The 17127-nt window shown below is 41.1% G+C and overlaps 1 protein-coding gene and 1 long non-coding RNA gene across 2 annotated transcripts, besides 4 other annotated features; one reads left to right on the top strand and one right to left on the bottom strand.

Moving 5' to 3' along the window:
- LOC105379183 (uncharacterized) lies at positions 518–2052 on the bottom strand. Its single transcript, NR_134247.1, has 2 exons — positions 1949–2052; positions 518–990 (listed from the first exon to the last, which is right to left on the bottom strand). It is a non-coding gene; the product is annotated as an uncharacterized LOC105379183 (long non-coding RNA).
- Positions 1973–2192: an enhancer, noted in NCBI's record as "active region_23112". NCBI's record gives its function as "activates an Ori minimal core promoter by ATAC-STARR-seq in GM12878 lymphoblastoid cells {active_cell/tissue: GM12878}" and the evidence as "EXISTENCE:reporter gene assay evidence [ECO:0000049][PMID:35858748]".
- On the top strand, positions 2116–15231 carry C5orf15 (chromosome 5 open reading frame 15). The gene is made up of 3 exons (NM_020199.3): positions 2116–2295; positions 10721–11247; positions 13751–15231. Exons 1-3 carry the CDS (start codon positions 2157–2159, stop codon positions 13880–13882), a joined length of 798 nt encoding a protein of 265 aa, NP_064584.1. The 5' UTR covers positions 2116–2156; the 3' UTR covers positions 13883–15231.
- Positions 2823–2922: an enhancer, noted in NCBI's record as "active region_23111". NCBI's record gives its function as "activates an Ori minimal core promoter by ATAC-STARR-seq in GM12878 lymphoblastoid cells {active_cell/tissue: GM12878}" and the evidence as "EXISTENCE:reporter gene assay evidence [ECO:0000049][PMID:35858748]".
- Positions 13171–13220: an enhancer, noted in NCBI's record as "active region_23110". NCBI's record gives its function as "activates an Ori minimal core promoter by ATAC-STARR-seq in GM12878 lymphoblastoid cells {active_cell/tissue: GM12878}" and the evidence as "EXISTENCE:reporter gene assay evidence [ECO:0000049][PMID:35858748]".
- Positions 13231–13280: an enhancer, noted in NCBI's record as "active region_23109". NCBI's record gives its function as "activates an Ori minimal core promoter by ATAC-STARR-seq in GM12878 lymphoblastoid cells {active_cell/tissue: GM12878}" and the evidence as "EXISTENCE:reporter gene assay evidence [ECO:0000049][PMID:35858748]".
- Positions 15232–17127: the final 1896 nt, after the last annotated feature.

Here is a 17127-nt window from a genome sequence, read left to right as displayed (position 1 = left end):
GCATTTTATGCAACTGATCACCCAAAAACTGTGGGCCTCAGTATTTGTCATACTGTCTTCAGGGACTTGCAGCTATTTCTAAGTGAATGTTCATAGAATTTATCCAGAGATTATGGCACATAGTGGTTGCTGGGTACATCTAGTCAGATGTCAGGTACAGTATTAAGATATTTTACTTTTAGAGACAGTCTTACTCTGTCACCCAGACTGAAGTGCACTGTCATCATCATAGCTCACTGCAGCCTTGAACTCCTGGGCTCCTGTGATCCTCCCATCTCAGCCTCCCGAGTACTTGGGATTACAGGCATAAGCCTGGCCCTAAAATATTTAAAAATGTATAAAGGGTTCTCTTGAGTATGAGGGAATATTTCCCTCACTAGTTACTTATTGTCTGCTTGTTGCATGCAGCATGTTGGAATATCATTGTGCAAAATGCTTTGAGTTCATAATATCTCACCAGTTAAGAGAATTGAGACAATCTGGTATGAGGACACAAATGGACAAAGTGGACAATGAGTCAGGGAAGAGGACTGCAGTGTGTTTATTATAGATTAACTTTAAAGTCAACAAGCAGAAACTAAGATTGAGAAGCTCATTTGTTGAACTGAGTGGTTTTACAGAAAACTTAAGTACCGCTCAGAGAAGGGAAGCTCCTGGGGGACTGGGAGGACTTTGCACCTTGGCTAAAGTGGAGAGTTTGCAATAAGGACACCATTCAGTCTAATACGGGCTTCTGGGGGATTTCGGGAAATGTGCAGATGAATGACTTCTTAGTTTTCTTAACACAGAGTTTGTGTGTTTCTGAGCTGTCACCAGGGTGAGATAAAAGCTTAGGGGAAACCAGATTCAGGAGTAGAACACAGGCCCTTTAGAGAGACAGCTCAGCTGTGTCTCTGGGGGATAACAGCAATCTTCGCAGGGAATCATAGAGACCAGAATGGTGAAGCTGTGGGCACAATAAATGTCTTGCTTAACGTCACATTGATTTTCCTGAAATTGATCAAATGGAACTTTTATGAATTGAAGCCTGTATCTGTTTATTAAGGAGACATTTACAGAACGTACACACAGAGCAAAGTATGGCGCCAGGGCCCTAGGTGAACTTCTTGGAAGTTTGTAAGTTTGCATTTTTATACACTGGGGATTTCAAGTAACAAAATTTAAAAAGAGAAGCTTATTTTAGGAAATCTGAAAGTTATTTTCAATGGCAGCCCCTCACCTCTACTTCCTAGCTACCTTCCTTTCTTTTCCTCCATAATTTTTTTTTTTTTTTTGAGACGGAGTCTGTGGCCCAGGCTAGAGTGCAGTGGCATCTCGGCTCCCTGCAGCCTCCACCTCCCGGGTTACAGCGATTCTCCTACCTCAGCCTCCCGAGTAGCTGCGATTACAGGCACGCGCCACCACGCCTGGCTAATTTTTGTATTTTTAGTAGAGTCGGGGTTTCTCCATGTTGGCCAGGCTGGTCTCCAACTCCGGACCTCAGGTGATCTGCCCTCCTCGGCCTCCCAAAGTGCTGGGAGCCACTGCACTAGGGCCGGTCCATAATATCTTTATCATCTTGTATAGTGTGTATTTTACACCATATTCGCCCTCACAAGAAAATAAACTGCCAAGGCGGGCGGGGGGGTGGGGGGTTCTTTTTGTTCACTGCTGTATCTTAAATAGGGAGAGGTGCTAAATCTTTGTTGAAAAAAAATAAATGACTGTCGGGAAAGATTTTTAAAAATTACTTATAATCCCATCACCGAAATAGGACTACTTAACATTTGTGTTTCTTTCGCCTTTGAGAGAGGAAGAGCAGTTACTTCGCTTTCGTGATCAGTCTGTTCTACAGCTGGATCTTCCTTTTTAAAATGGCTAAAAACGCTATTTTTGGCTGTATAGTACCCAATCATGCAGGCGGCAGGGAGGGGCTCGCTTTGGCCCTCTTCAGCACGTCACACCCTACCTTTAATCCGCAGCCAACTGTGTGGCGGTCCCCACTTTCGCCTAGCGGCAACTCCCTCCTCCCTGCAATCCTTCCTTCTTATTCCGGTTTCCAGAGCACGTCTCCAGGCTTCGACGTCACCACGCTGGGACGTATGTGCCGAGGGCCGCGGCGTCTGACCTCATGGCGTAGAGCCTAGCAACAGCGCAGGCTCCCAGCCGAGTCCGTTATGGCCGCTGCCGTCCCGAAGAGGATGAGGGGGCCAGCACAAGCGAAACTGCTGCCCGGGTCGGCCATCCAAGCCCTTGTGGGGTTGGCGCGGCCGCTGGTCTTGGCGCTCCTGCTTGTGTCCGCCGCTCTATCCAGTGGTAAAGGGGGGCGGCAGTGTGGGCTTAGGAAGGCTAGGAGGGCTCGGGCGCAGGGCAGGAGACAGGCCGGGCCAGGGAAAGGGCGCTTCCAAGTGTCAGGAGCAGACGGCGGTGTCTGGTTGGGTCAGGGTCTCCGCGGGCCTGAGGACGGAGGGTATGGTGTCTGAAGGGGTCCAAGGTGGTAGGGTCTCCAAGGGGCCTGAGAAGCGGGGTCCCTGAGAGATGCAGGAACCCAGGGAGCAGGCAGCAGGGTGTGTAGATGGGCGGGGAGGGAGGAGTGGTGTTAGCGCCTAGAGATCGTTGAAGAATGGGCTGCCGCAAGGAATGGCGGTGGTGGGGTCTCCAAAATTTCTTGGATCGGAAAGTTAGGAGACTCTGGAAGAGAGGGTGGCGACAGGGGCTGAGGAGGTGGCCGGGGCTGGGGGTGTGGTGTCTGGAAAGGGTCCTGAGTTTGGGGGACTCAGGAATCTTGCAGGACCAAGGAAAGGTGGGGGTTTTCCAGAATGGGAGAGGTCAGTGGTAAAGACCGAGGCGGGCAGGGGCAGTAATCCAGTGACTGGACTGAACCAATGGAATATTTCCGAGAGGGAAAGTGAAAGGGAAAGAGCTGTCTTAGGGTACTGGTGCATATTTGAAGACTGGGAGGTTCTGGTGTTTGATAAAGATTCAGAGTACTGGGGCGTTGGGCCCCTGAAGGCTTGGGAGGCAGAGAGGAGTTTGGAGACAAGGGAGATCATGATTCCTCTTCCCTGTGTTCCGAGTTAACCAGGATAACCCTGCCTCGTTTTAATGCATCTGTAGGATTTGATTGATAAAATATTTCATTTCTTGCAAATGTTGCATGGTGAAATCAAGAGATTGAAGGCTTTTATTGAGAAATTAGGAAATCTGTAAACCAGTGCCTGATACTTGGTGGGAAAAATCCACTATTAAGAACTTGTAAGGATTAAACGGTATTTTGTTTAGTAGTCCCATTTTTCTTTCAGGCCAAGACACAGTCCTGCGTTTCTCCCTAAATTTGAATTTTCAGCTGCAAAACAGTGTGACCTGGTATAGTGTTTTCTTTCTTGCCAGCAGGGCCTGTCCAGCCCTACATTCCTCTGCGACAGTACTGTGGGTACATACTTATGTTTCCTCAGCAACATTTCAGTGTTGCTAACTGGACGCCCTCCCAGAAGTCTTTGCAGTCCCTGAGGAAGGACTGCTGTCCATTTCCTAAGGCCCTTTTATCATTAGTGAAATGTAATGAGGATTTCCCTGGTTGATGCAGATATTCCCGTTCCTAAAGTACTTAAGTAGCTTAATTGTTTTGGCCATTTAATCATCTAAGAAAAATAAAACACAAACATTTATATTTCCTGCTGGAATGCTTAAGGGATATATATCTGGCAACTGTAGTTTCAGAAACAGCTTTTTTCCCCTAAGAGATGGTTGAAAATTGGGCAAGAAGTGAGGCAGAATGTGGACTGTTAAGTGTCCTTTAGTCTCTGCTTTTATTTGTTAGAGCCCTATAAATATTTTTCTAACTATACTGAGACATTTTAGAGAATCTTTATCTTTTAAATTAAGTCTTTACATACACCAGTTTAAAATGTCATAAATTCAGATTATTCTGTCCTGAAAAGAAGCTAAATGAAAACGAACATACATGTCTTTAATAGGCGAGCAGCTCCACTGCACTACAGTGTAGCTTGGGATATAAGTATTTTTTGTAAGCATACCTTATAATTTCAAAGTAGTCACTCCTGTAATAAGAAAATTAGTCTAGAATGTGTTGAGTTCCAAATTTCAAGTGAGTTTACAAAGGTAGAAGGTTACCACATTAGATTTATTTAAATTTGTTCCATATTAGGTTTTAAAAACTGTCAATGCTTGGTTATATGCTCGTCAGTCTGTAAGAATTTTTGTTTTATGTTTTTGTTTTGATCAAGTCTAAAAAATTAACATAAGCAGTTTGGATCACTGGGTGACTAATTCTTGGTCATGCCATTTCAAAAATGCCTGGTTCTCTACATTTGCCATTATATTGTCCCCAAATGATCACCTAAACTTAATGTATAATGCATTTCATTTTTAAGGCATTGTTTCTCAAACCAGTGTGTGAATGAGTTCTCGGGGTCCTCTGCATTCTTAAGTTTAAGAAATGCTGATATAGTTTTATTTTAGGGCAGTTTTTAAAAAGGGACCAGTAGAAGGGGAGAATTAAATTTATAAAGTTTTGTTTTTTGTTTTTTTTTTGAGTCTGTCGCGAGGCTGGAGTGCAGTGGCGTGATCTCGGCTCATTGCAACCTCCGCCTCCCGGTTTCAAGTGATTCTTCTGCCTCAGCCTCCCGAGTATGCTGGGACTACAGGCGCGCACCACACCTGGCTAGTTTTTGTATTTTTAGTAGAGACGGGGTTTCACCGTGTTATCCAGGATGGTCTCAATCTCCTGACCTCGTGATCCGCCCGCCTTGGCCTCCCAAAGTGCTGGGATTACAGGCCTGAGCCACTGTGCCCAGCCTTTTTTGTTTGTTTGTTTGAGACAGGGTTTTGCTCTGTCGCCCAGGCTGGAGTGCAGTAGCACAAACTTGGCCCATTGCAACTTCCGCCTCCTGGGCTCAAGCAGTCCTCCCACTTCAGCCCCCTGAATAGCTGGGACCACAGGTGCCTGCCACCGTGCTCAGCTGATTTTTGTATTTTTGTAGAGATGGGGTTTTGCCATGTTGGCCAGGCTGGTCTTGAATTCCTGTGCTTAAGCGATCCACTTGCCCTGGCCTCCCAAAGTGCTAGGGTTACAGGCGTGAGCCACCGTGTCCGGCCTAAGCTTTATTTTTAAAATGTTAAGCTTCAAGTAGAGAGGTAATATCAATTAGGAAAGGGAAGATTTAGAAGTCTTATTTATATGCTCATAGAAGGTCAACAGTTAAATCCGTAAAGTCAGAGTTGTACCTTTGTTCTGAATACTCTTCATATCTGACTTAATCAACTTCTCTGATTTGAAGGAGTTTGAGTAAGTTGATAGCCTTTGTATTACATGTTTCAGGTCAATTATTTGTTTTTTCTTGTGCTGTATTTGTGTATTACTTCCAAGATTTTACTGCTTGACTAAGACATTCTGCTCCTACTTGGTGCTAGGTATTGGAGTTAAACAATGAATAGGGTGATACTGGGGGTATCCTTAGAAGAATGAGTGGCGTTTTGCTGAGAACCATGGCATGGGCTCTTGAGGGAGTGCAGTAGGTGCATAGATGCTATGTGGGATGTGGTGTGGGATTTGTGGTGAGAGTTGAATCGAGAGCATATTCAATAAATATTTATTGAGTGCCTGCTATCTATTAAGTAGGTAATGGGGATAGAGCTGTTAGGGAGATTAGTAAGATAATGAGAGTGAGGTAATGGGGGCCAGATCATGTAGGATCTTGAAGGCTATTATAAAAATTTTCACTTTTGTGAGAAATGGATGGCCCTAGAGGGTCTTAAGTAGAGGAGTAACATTTGATTTAAGTTTTGACAGAATGACTCTGGCTGCTGTGTTGAGTATAGACAGTAGAAGTTAGGGTGGAAGCAGGCAGATTAATTAGGAGGCTATTGTAATAATCCATGTGAGATAATGGTTACTTGGATGAGGCAGGAGCAGTGGAGGGTGAAAAGCCCTCAAATGCTGCATATGTCAGAATAACAGATTGGATGTGGGATGTTAAAAAAAATGACAACTCCAAGGTTTTTAGTTTTAGTAACTACAAAGATGTAGTTGCCATTAATTGAGATGGAGACTAAGTAGAACAAGTTTTTTTGTTTTTTGAGTGGGGCATAGGAATTTATTTAAACTTATTTTGAGATAATTATAGATTCACTTGGCAGTTGTAAGAAATAATATAGAGATCCTGCATATCCCCTACCCAGTTTTCCTAATAGTAACGTCTTTCAAAACAATAGTGCAATATCACGACCAGGATATTAACATTGGTACAGTCAAAATACGGGGCATTACCATCACCACAAGGATATCTCATATTGCCCTTATAAAGCCACCCCACTTCCCTCCTACCTCACCCCTCCTGAACTCCTGGTAACCACAAATTATCCATTTGTATAAGTTGGTAATTTTGAGAATCTTACATAAATGGAATAATACAGTATGTAACTTTTGGGATTGACTTTTTTTCACTTAGCATAATTCTCTGAAGATTCACCTAGGTTGTTACATGTGTCAATAGTTTGTTCCTTTTTAAATTTTAACTTTTATTTTTTCGAGAGTAAGTCTTGCACTCCAGGCTGGAGTGCAATGGCACGATCTCGGCTCACTGCAACCTCCGCCTCCCAGGTTCAAGCAGTTCTCCTGTCTCAGCCTCCAGAGTAGCTGGGATTGTAGGTGCACACCACCACACCCAGCTAATTTTTGTATTTTTGGTAGAGATGGGGTTTCACCATTTTGGCCAGGCTGGTCTCGAACTCCTGACCTTGTGATCCACCTGCCTTGGCCTCCCAAAGTGCCCAGATTACAGGTGTGAGCCACCAGTCCTGGTTGTTTGTTCCTTTAAATTGCTGAGTAATATTCTATGGTATAGGTAGACTACACTTTATTTATCTGTTGAAGGATGCCTGATTGTTTCCAGTTTTTGGCTATTATGAATAAAGCTGCTATGAATGTGTTTGTGCAGCACTCCAGCCTAAGTGACAAAGCGAGACCCTGTCTCAAAAAGAAAAAAATAAAATGAGCTTTCTATGGACATCATGTAGTTGAGTCTGCCAGTCTCTGTTTTTTAATTGATGTATTTAGGTCATTTACATTTACTGCACTATGGATATGTTAGAGCTGAAGTCTGCCATTTTTATTTTTTGTCTTTAGCCTGGGATATATGAGGTAAAAAGAAAAACCTAAGGAAGTCACCACCATGTTGTTTCACATATCCTGAGGTCTCTAACTGTTCTACCCAGTTCTTTCCACCTTTCAGAGTGTTCTTGTGTTATTTTATACATAATGTTCAGAGCTTTTAGTTGTTTTTAGTGGGAGAAACAGGGAAGAGTGTGTTTGTCTTCCTGAAAGCCAGCCAGAATTCATTTTGAACATATTAATGTGAATGTCAGACATCTAAGAGGAGATGTCAAGTAGGTGGTTGGATTTATGAGTCTAGAATTCTGGTCGTTCTTGGAAGTTCTTTTAATTTTTCTCAGAAAAGTTAGGAAGTGATGTCATCAGTTGAAAATGAGGATAACAGAGAAGACATTTGAAGTTTGTGGTTAGAGGAAAATGTGATTGGTGTCCTAAGAGAGTAGAAGGGTAAATGGACTAGGAAAATATGATTGCCAACAATTTTAATTGCCAACAGCTTTAAACATACACCTGAATCTTTGGCATTGAATTTAAAATGAAATGAAAACAGTGGCATGGTTGTATATTTTTTCTAGCCATGTTCAGCTGCTGGGTGCAGATGTGAGTAGTCAGAGAGCTTGATTTATTAATAACTAGGGATGAGTGTAGTCTCACCAAGTGAATGGGTCAAAGTGGACAAGGGGGAAGGGAATTGAAGATGGATGTAAGAGAGTGATTATAAGCAATTATAATAGCTGACACAGAATTGAATCTGAATAAAGAGAGAAGAGAGTGTATTGGGCAAGTTTTGATGGTGACCGTAAGGGAATGAAAAGGATTAGAGGGTTGTAGGTGTTTATGGATTGAGAATACCAGGGAATGAACTGGAAGGATAGGAGGTCTTGCCAGCAAGTAGAATGCATGAAATTGAGATTATGGAAGAATTGTGATAATAAATAATGACTCTGGGAGTGAGTGGCTGAGGTAAAGAGGAGGGCTAGCTCATGAGAAGAGAGGAGGTCAAAGATTTTGAAATCAAGGCAGGAGTACTTGTCTTAGATGGAGTGAACTCTAGAGCCAGGAGCTAAAGATCATTAAGAATTAGGGGGCATGACTTTGGAGTTGGATGAAAGTAAGTTAGTGCATTATAGCTTAAGATAAGAGAATCAAAGCTAGAGGCATTTAGGGAGAAGAACGGGAGAATGGTCTGAAAAGGGCAATGAGGAGGAGAACTGTGCCTCCTTGAGATTCAGTGGTTCAAGGATGTGGGAGAAAAAACAGCTATTACTTAAACAGGCTGAAAGGAAAATGTGTCCTTAAGGGAGAGTCAGGTTTCAGTAATAACAAGAAAGCAAAGGGTGAAAGAAGGGATTTGCTGATGACTGTGAATTCTATACTGCGTGGTGGAAATTTCTTTATAATTATTCCCACCCTATCAGCTTGTGTCCTTTAAAGGTACTTACCCATGGAAAAATTGTTCTTTTAAAAGTTAAGTTTAGTTAGTTGGCTCCCACTTATTTCAATTTTAAATTTTATTTTAAAACATGTTTTTTGTACTTTGGCAGGAAAATTAAATGTATCAGAAAATAATAATTTTTAAATTCTTGAATTATAACTAAGTTGAAGTGATAAATGCAAAAATTATTTTCAGAAATTCCTGTTAGTAGTTTTCTGAGTAATGTACTGAGTTGTAGGTCCTGTTTATTTCTCTTTTCTTCCAGTAAAAAATTTCAAGGAACTCAATTATTGAAAATGTTTTAAGAGTTTTACTGTAATCCCAGTACTTTGGGAGGCCAAGGTGGGAGGATTTCTTGAACCCTGGAATATGAGAGCAGCCTGGGCAACATGGCAAGATGCTGTCTCAAAAAAAAAAAAAAATTGCATATGGCATTGGACAAATATATGAAAAATAAAAAAAGCCAGGCAGGGTAGCATGTGCCTGTGGTCCCAGCTACATGGGGGGCTTGAAACCAGGAGGTCGAGGCTACAGTGAGCTATGTTTGTGCTACTGCATTTCAGCCTGGGCAACAGAGTGAGACCCTGTCAAAAAAAAAAAAGGGAAAAAGAGAGTTTTACTAATTTATTGGTTTTTTTTTTTTTTTTTTGAGATGTGGTCTTGCTCTGTCGGCCAGGCTAGAGTGCAGTGGCGCCATCTCGGCTCACTGCAACCTCCACCTCCCAGGTTCACGCCATTGTCCTGCCTCAGCCTCCCGAGTAGCTGGGACTACAGGTGCCTGCCACCATGCCTGGCTAATTTTTTGTATTTTTTAGTAGAGACCGGGTTTCATCATGTTAGCCAGGATGGTCTCGAGCTCCTGACCTCATGTTCAGCCTGCCTCGGCCTCCCAAAGTGCTGGGATTACAGGCGTGAGCCACAGGGCCTGGCCTTTTTTTTTTTTTTTTTTTTTTTTTTTTTTTACTAACTGACTACATTATTTTTCTGAGATCCTCTGTTCATTCTAATTGACACCAGCTATTTCTTTTTTTTTCTACACAAAATGGATGTCAACTGTGGTACACAAACCAGAGTGTATTCACATGAAGAAAGGGTTGTCTGTTGGATTGTTAACTTGTGTGAATGCACATGTTTGTGAAAGCACTAGAATGACTTGGTTTAATCTTACCCCTATAAAATATTTTACTTTAATGTGATAGACTTTAAAATATTGTCTGAATATGTTTAGATCTACATGACAGAGGTTTTTTTTTTTTATTTTTTTAGTGTAGTAGAGGTCCTTGAAGTTCTTCAACAGATACTACATTAGATTATAAATTAGAGATGGTTAAATTTCGGCAGGGATTCCTCTGGAATCTTCCTCTATTCATTCTTCTTGGTAAAAGAATAGTAAGAATTCTTATGTAAAGAATTTTACCTTTAGTAAACTATGCTGAGTAGGTAGCAGCACAGGGAAATAAGAATGTGTGTGTATTTGGTGTCATTTGCTATACCTAGATGCCTTCCCTCATCTTCAAAATAGTCTAGTTGTCACTTAGCTCTCAGGTTCCCGTTTCGGATGCTTCTCCTTTAGAAGTTTTTTCTTCTTTGTAAGGATCCTTCTTTTTTTTTGAATTTAGGAGAGGGAGTCCTCTAGTTCAAGTATCACTTAGAATTACTATCTACAGCATGCCTATAGCTTCCCCTGAATTTGTTATGTTGTGTTGAAAGTATTTAGGTCCAAACTCCATATCTTTTTTGGGACCTACTTGAGTGAGAATCAGCCACTTTTTGGTCTGTTCTAGGGATCAGGTAAAGTCTGGACAAGGTAACTGAAATCCACACCCTTTATGAAATGAAAACAGAGGGGATGGGTGAGGGCTGTATGTGAACTTTGCCATCGTGACTTAAAGTCAGCCCTTTTTCTTTTCTTTTGGTGGCAGGCTGTATGATGCAGTAGGTCTTTTATGCTGCTTAAATTGTTAGTATCTAGCAAAGCAATTATTATCTGAAGAATAACTGACTAAGAAGAAATGTAACTGAATGCTGGCTATTGAGACTTAATAACTAGTTTTCGAGAAAGTTATAGGAATGTAGCAGAGAGAAATGCTTAGTGTAAAATTTGGGTAAATATGCTTTTAGCTTGGTGGAGATAAAGTTGGAGATTTCAGTTTGATATTCTTTGTTTGTTTCAGTTGTATCACGGACTGATTCACCGAGCCCAACCGTACTCAACTCACATATTTCTACCCCAAATGTGAATGCTTTAACACATGAAAACCAAACCAAACCTTCTATTTCCCAAATCAGCACCACCCTCCCTCCCACGACGAGTACCAAGAAAAGTGGAGGAGCATCTGTGGTCCCTCATCCCTCGCCTACTCCTCTGTCTCAAGAGGAAGCTGATAACAATGAAGATCCTAGTATAGAGGAGGAGGATCTTCTCATGCTGAACAGTTCTCCATCCACAGCCAAAGACACTCTAGACAATGGCGATTATGGAGAACCAGACTATGACTGGACCACGGGCCCCAGGGACGACGACGAGTCTGATGACACCTTGGAAGAAAACAGGGGTTACATGGAAATTGAACAGTCAGTGAAATCTTTTAAGATGCCATCCTCAAATATAGAAGAGGAAGACAGCCATTTCTTTTTTCATCTTATTATTTTTGCTTTTTGCATTGCTGTTGTTTACATTACATATCACAACAAAAGGAAGGTAGGTTTGGGATTTTTTTAGCCCTTTATTATTTCAGTCATAATGCTTTTGATGATTCATGGTTCTTTTTTTTTTTTTTTTTTTTTTTTGCAAAAAAAAGTGTAGTGGGTTTCACTCTGTCAACCAAGCTGGAGTACAGTGGCACAATCACAGCTCACTGGAGCCTCGACCTCCTAGGCTTAAGTGATTCTCTTGCCTCAGCCTGTCGAGTTGGTGGGACTACAGATTCACACTACCACACCTGGCTAATTTTTAAAAATTATTAAATTAAAATTTTAAAAATTATTGTTTGTAGAGACGAGGTGTCGCTATTTTGCCCAGGCTGTTCTTGAACTCCCAGGCTCAAGCAGTCCTCCCGCCTCGGCCTCCCAAAGTGTTGGGATTACAGACATGAGCCACCATGCCCAGCCCTCTTTCCTTTTTTTCAGTGAAGTTTAAATTCATAGTAAAATATTGAGATGTCTAATCAGCATGTAAATCTATTGTGTATTTTAACACACTGCAGACAGAATGCTTGAATGTATGTACTTCTAAAAAAAGAAATAGTCCTATTTCTTAATGAGTAATACCAAAGCCCAGTGATTTTTTTTTTAAGAGTTTATGTCTTAATTTGGCATCATTACTTCAGTAGGAATACTTGTGGAGAAAATGTTAATTTAATATTTGTCTTTTAATTTATTAACATTGAACTTAATCTTTTGATTTTTTTTCTGGTTATAAAGTGTTACACATTTATTTTAGGGAATTCAGAAAACAGAAGAGTTTAGAAAAGAAAATTTAAACTACTTCTCAGCATTAACGTTTTGGTGTATTTCTGGTCTATAAATGTGCATATAATTTATACATATAGGTGTATGTAATGATTTTTAAGGAATTTTATCTCACAGAGTTTTTTTTTTTTTTTTTTTTTTTTTTTTGAGACAGAGCTTCACTTTGTCTCCCAGGCTGGAGAGCAGTGGTGCGATCTCGGCTCACTGCAACCTCCACCTCCCAGGTTCAAGCGATTTTCATGGCTCAGCCTCTTGAGTAACTGGGACTACAGGCGCAGGCCACCACGCCTGGCTAATTTTCGTATTTTTAGTAGAGACGGGGTTTTGCCATGTTGGCCAGGCTGGTCTCAAACTCCTGGCCTCAAGTGATCCACCCACTTCAGCCTCCCAAAACGCTGGGATTACAGGCATGAGCCACTGCACCCAGCTATCTCATAGAGTTTTATGTCCTGACCAATCATGAGCATTTTCCATATCCTTAATATTCTTTAAAAACATTATTTTTTTTTGAGACAGGATCTTGCTATGTTGTCCACGCTGGTGAACTCCTGGCCTCAAGTAATCCTCCCACTTCAGCCTCCCAAGTAATTGAGATTATAGGCGTGAGCCACTGTGCCTGGCTAAAAACATACTAGATTCATGGTTTACAATTTTTGGTTCAGAAATAATATTGTGATGAACATTTCTGTGCTGTTACCAGTTTGCTGGATTACATGAGGCACAAGAGACATCTGTAGGACAGGATACATCACATTTAGTGTGAGGGTACATGTTGGCACTCTACAGTCCCAAAGCTGAATAGTTAAGCCTTTTAAAATCCTTAAAGGGAGATCAAACACACAGTTCCTTTTTAATACTTACTGGTCAGGAAGTCTCAGTTCTTGACTTTATTGTAACTTGCTTTGTAACACTGTAAGCCACCTTCCCCTTCGGGGCCTTGATTTCCTTACCTGACAAATAGTGAAACTGGACCTGATAATTTCAAAATGCCTTCCTGCTTTGAGAATCAGTGACTCTAATAATAGTTCAAAAAAAAGCAAACCAACCAACTCTTCTGGTTATTTGTATTTAGTGCTATATTGCTAGCTTTGTAAGTGTTTATGGGTAGACAGAACCTTGAGTGCTGCTGATATTATATCCCACTGTTTAGTGTTTGGCCATCTCTATTATGAACATCAAAGGGACTTGTTAAACAAGTAGGTTCCTGGGCTCTACCTCAAGTACTAACTCAGTCTCTGAAGATAGAGCCTAGGAATCTGAGTCTTTAACAAACATTCCTATATATATTGAAATTTGAGAAGCACTGTTTAGCCTTCTTTACAAGATGGAAAGCAAAATAGCTTTTGTTTTTTTTTTTTTTTGAGACAGGGTCTTGCTTTGTCACCCAGGCTGAAGTGTTGTGGTGCTGTCATGGCTTACTGTGATCTCTGCCTCCTGGGCTCGAGTGATCCTCCACCTTAGCCTCCTGAGTAGCTGGGACTACAGGCAAGCGCCTCCATGCCTGGCTAATTTTGTATTTTTTGTAGAGATGGTGTTTCACCATGTTGCTTAGGCTGGTCTCGGACTCCTGGGCTCAAGTGATCTGCCTGCCTCGGCCTAAAATAGCTTTTTTGTTGTTGATATTTTGTGTTTTATATTTAGAAACCTAGAAGAGAGATATTTTACTTGTTATAAAAATGTTTACCATATTCTCTGTTTTCTCTTTTGCCTATTTAATGACTTCTGTTTTCCAGATTTTTCTTCTGGTTCAAAGCAGGAAATGGCGTGATGGCCTTTGTTCCAAAACAGTGGAATACCATCGCCTAGATCAGAATGTTAATGAGGCAATGCCTTCTTTGAAGATTACCAATGATTATATTTTTTAAAGCACTGTGATTTGAATTTGCTTATGTAATTTTATTTGCTTGACTTTTTATATGATATTGTGCAAATGTTTGCCATAGGCAATTGGTACTTAAATGAGAGGTGAGTCTCTCTTTTGCCTTGGTGCTTTGGAAATTAAATGTCACAAACGAGTATATAATTTTTTATCTGTACTTTTAGAGCTGAGTTTAATCAGGTGTCCAAAATGTGAGTTAAACATTACCTTATATTTACACTGTTAGTTTTTATTGTTTTAGATTTATTATGCTTCTTCTGGAAGTATTAGTGATGCTACTTTTAAAAGATCCCAAACTTGTAACTAAATTCTGACATATCTGTTACTGCTGACTCACATTCATTCTCCGCCATTCAAATACTATTTTTTATCCACATTTTTTTTTGTTCCCAAACTGTAATGTACAAGGATATGTGTGATAATGCTTTGGATTTGAGTAATATTTTTTTTTCTTCCAAGAAAACTGCTTTGGATATTTTTAGATAATTTAAACATAATTTAGGATAATGATATTGCTCAATCTGACCACAATTTTAGGTAAAACATTAAATGTGTCAAGAAATCTTGGCAACAGAGACTCTGCAGCTTGCAGTGGACATAGATAAAATGTTACAGAGATACTATTTTTTTGGTTGGAATTACTATATTAAATTTAGAAGCAGAAACTGGTAAAATGTTAAATACATGTACAATTGCTTTTAGTTAGCAATTGATTGTAGCATGGGTTCCTCCAAGGTTTCAAGCAATGGGCAGAGTTTAAAATTATATCAGATTCGTTTACTTCGTTTATTATTTTACAGTAAATTTGAATAAATCTTAGGGGTCATTATCACTTAAATAATACTGTACCTAGGTCTTTCAAATTAAAATTATACCTGAATGAAGTTGTTTGTATACATAAAGGATATTTGTGTACAATTACCTTTTTTCCCCCACACTTGTTTTCTTTGTTTTTGTTTTTTATGGCAACTGGAAAGTATTTACTATGGGATTCATTTATGTCTGTCTTTCTATCATAAAGAATTGATCAATATGTAAATATGTGATTTGAACCATGGTTGACTTACAAGTGTCACTACAGCTTTTTAGAAAACATAGCCCTAATATATGTTAAGCAGGACCCGGGTGAGCCAGTGGGCTTGCGCTTTATGTAGAGCTGGAAGAAGGCCGTCCATCCTGTCTCTTGGGCGGACAGTGTACTTTCCTAATAGGGAAGGGAAGCACAATGGAAATACCCCTGAACCGTTTTATTGCAGTAATTTTTTTCATATCTGAAACTATTATTTAATATTTTGAATAAGATTTTAAAAAATAAATGGCAAAGATATAAATCTATGATTTCACGAGTGTGTTTCTGTGTTTCATTTCAGTGATGACATTTAGGTGGTGACGGGGAGTAGTGTATGTCTGGGAGCAATCTAACCTGATTCACTTGCAGGTGTCCCTCTCAGCAGTGCAACTCTGCCTCTATGAATTCCACTTACATTGCTAAATTCTTCTTTAGGTCCAACTTACTGCGAGGTACTGAAGTTTATTGAAAACTGTAGCAAAGTAGGATGGCAAAGAAAAGCAAAGTGGCTAAATCAGTGTGCTCTTTCTAGCATCCTGGGGTCACTATCTGGGATGGAAGGCTCCCCGAGTGTGGAGGCTCATCCCCCTTAGTGGATTGGGGGATTCTTGGGTACTTCCTGGTGGTCCAGCCACCTAGGTCACAGTGCTGCAATTAAGTAGCCTCAGACTTTTGGAGCATCAGATCATACATTGATTAAAAATGCCCCTGGAGTCTCACAGAGGCACTTGAGCACTAGGAACTAGTGCTAGGGACTAGGCACGCAGGGGCCACAGTTGAGCCTCACAACCTCATGCCACCTCCTCCTGTGTGGTGTTATCTGCTCCTTTCTCCTAGACTAGACTCACTTTCTGGTCAGACCTGAAGCTCTGCACCCGATTTTGGTACTAATGGTATAATAGATTACCTTTTAGCTCCCGTTTCTGTGTCTTAGCTGAAAAGGAATGTGTTGGAACTTGTGGGGCAGACAGAAACAGACATTTAGAATTTGGGCAGTCAGGCAGGCATGTTATATTAGTCTGTTCTCACATTGCTATAGAAATACCCGAGACTGGATAATTTATAAAGAAAAGAAGTTTAATTGGCTCACTGTTTTGCAGGCTGTGGAGGGAGCATGATGCTGGCATCTGCTCAGCTTCTGGGGAGGTTTCAGGAAGCTTACCATCATTGTGAAAGACGAAAGGGGAGCAGTTGTCTCACATGACAGGAACAGGAGCAAGAGAGAGTAAGGGGGAATGTACTACACAGTTTCTTTTTTTTTTTTTTTTTTTTTTTTTTTTGAGACAGTCTCGCTCTTTCACCAAGGCTGTAGTGCAGTGGTGCAGTCTTGGCTCATTGCAGCCTCCACCTCCTGAGTTCAAGTGATTCTCCTGACTCATCCTCCTGAGTAGCTGGGACTACAGGCACCTGCCACCACTCCCAGCTAATTTTTGTATTTTGTATTTTATTTTATTTTTTAGTAGAGGTGGGGTTTTACCATGTTGGCCAGGCTGGTCTTGAACTCATGACCTCAAATGATCCACCCGCCTCGGCCTCCCAAAGTGTTGGGATTACAGGCATGAGCCACTGTGCCTGGCCTTACTATACACTTTTAAATCACCAGATCTCATGAGAACTCATTATCATGAGAACAGCACCAAGGGAGATGGTGTTAAACCATGAGAAAACCACCCCCATGATCCAGTCATCTCCCACCAGGCCCCACCTCCAACACTGGGGACTTCAATTCGACGTGAAGTTTGGGCAGGACACAGGTCTAAACCATACCACATACCTTGACTGGGCTTTCTTGATTTTAAATGTGATCTCCTGAGCGTGAGTGCAAGCTCTTGCGGAATGTGTGGTTTGCCCCACCGAGTGAGTTGCTTGAGAACAGGAACTGGCTCTTACTGCTCTCCAGCCCCAAGCTCATTACCTGGCACCTGCTAGGCCCCTTTAAATTGTTATTCAATGAAGTATTTGAGAAATTAGATGAGGAGAAAACCAAGACAACTCAGGCTCTGCACAAGATCACATAGTCTGCATAGAGTCCAATACTACTAACGTCCTGGGTACACAGATGAATGCGGGATCAGAGCCGAGTACAGCGTGTCAGTCCTTATGTGCACATCCACAATTCTACGGGAAGCTAAAGCCCACAATAGTTGTATGAGATATCACCC

This window comes from Homo sapiens, chromosome 5 (genome assembly GCF_000001405.40).
Source record: "Homo sapiens chromosome 5, GRCh38.p14 Primary Assembly".
Lineage (NCBI taxonomy): Eukaryota > Metazoa > Chordata > Mammalia > Primates > Hominidae > Homo > Homo sapiens.
Note: the sequence above shows the minus strand (reverse complement) of the source record. Positions and strands in the feature narration are given on the sequence as shown.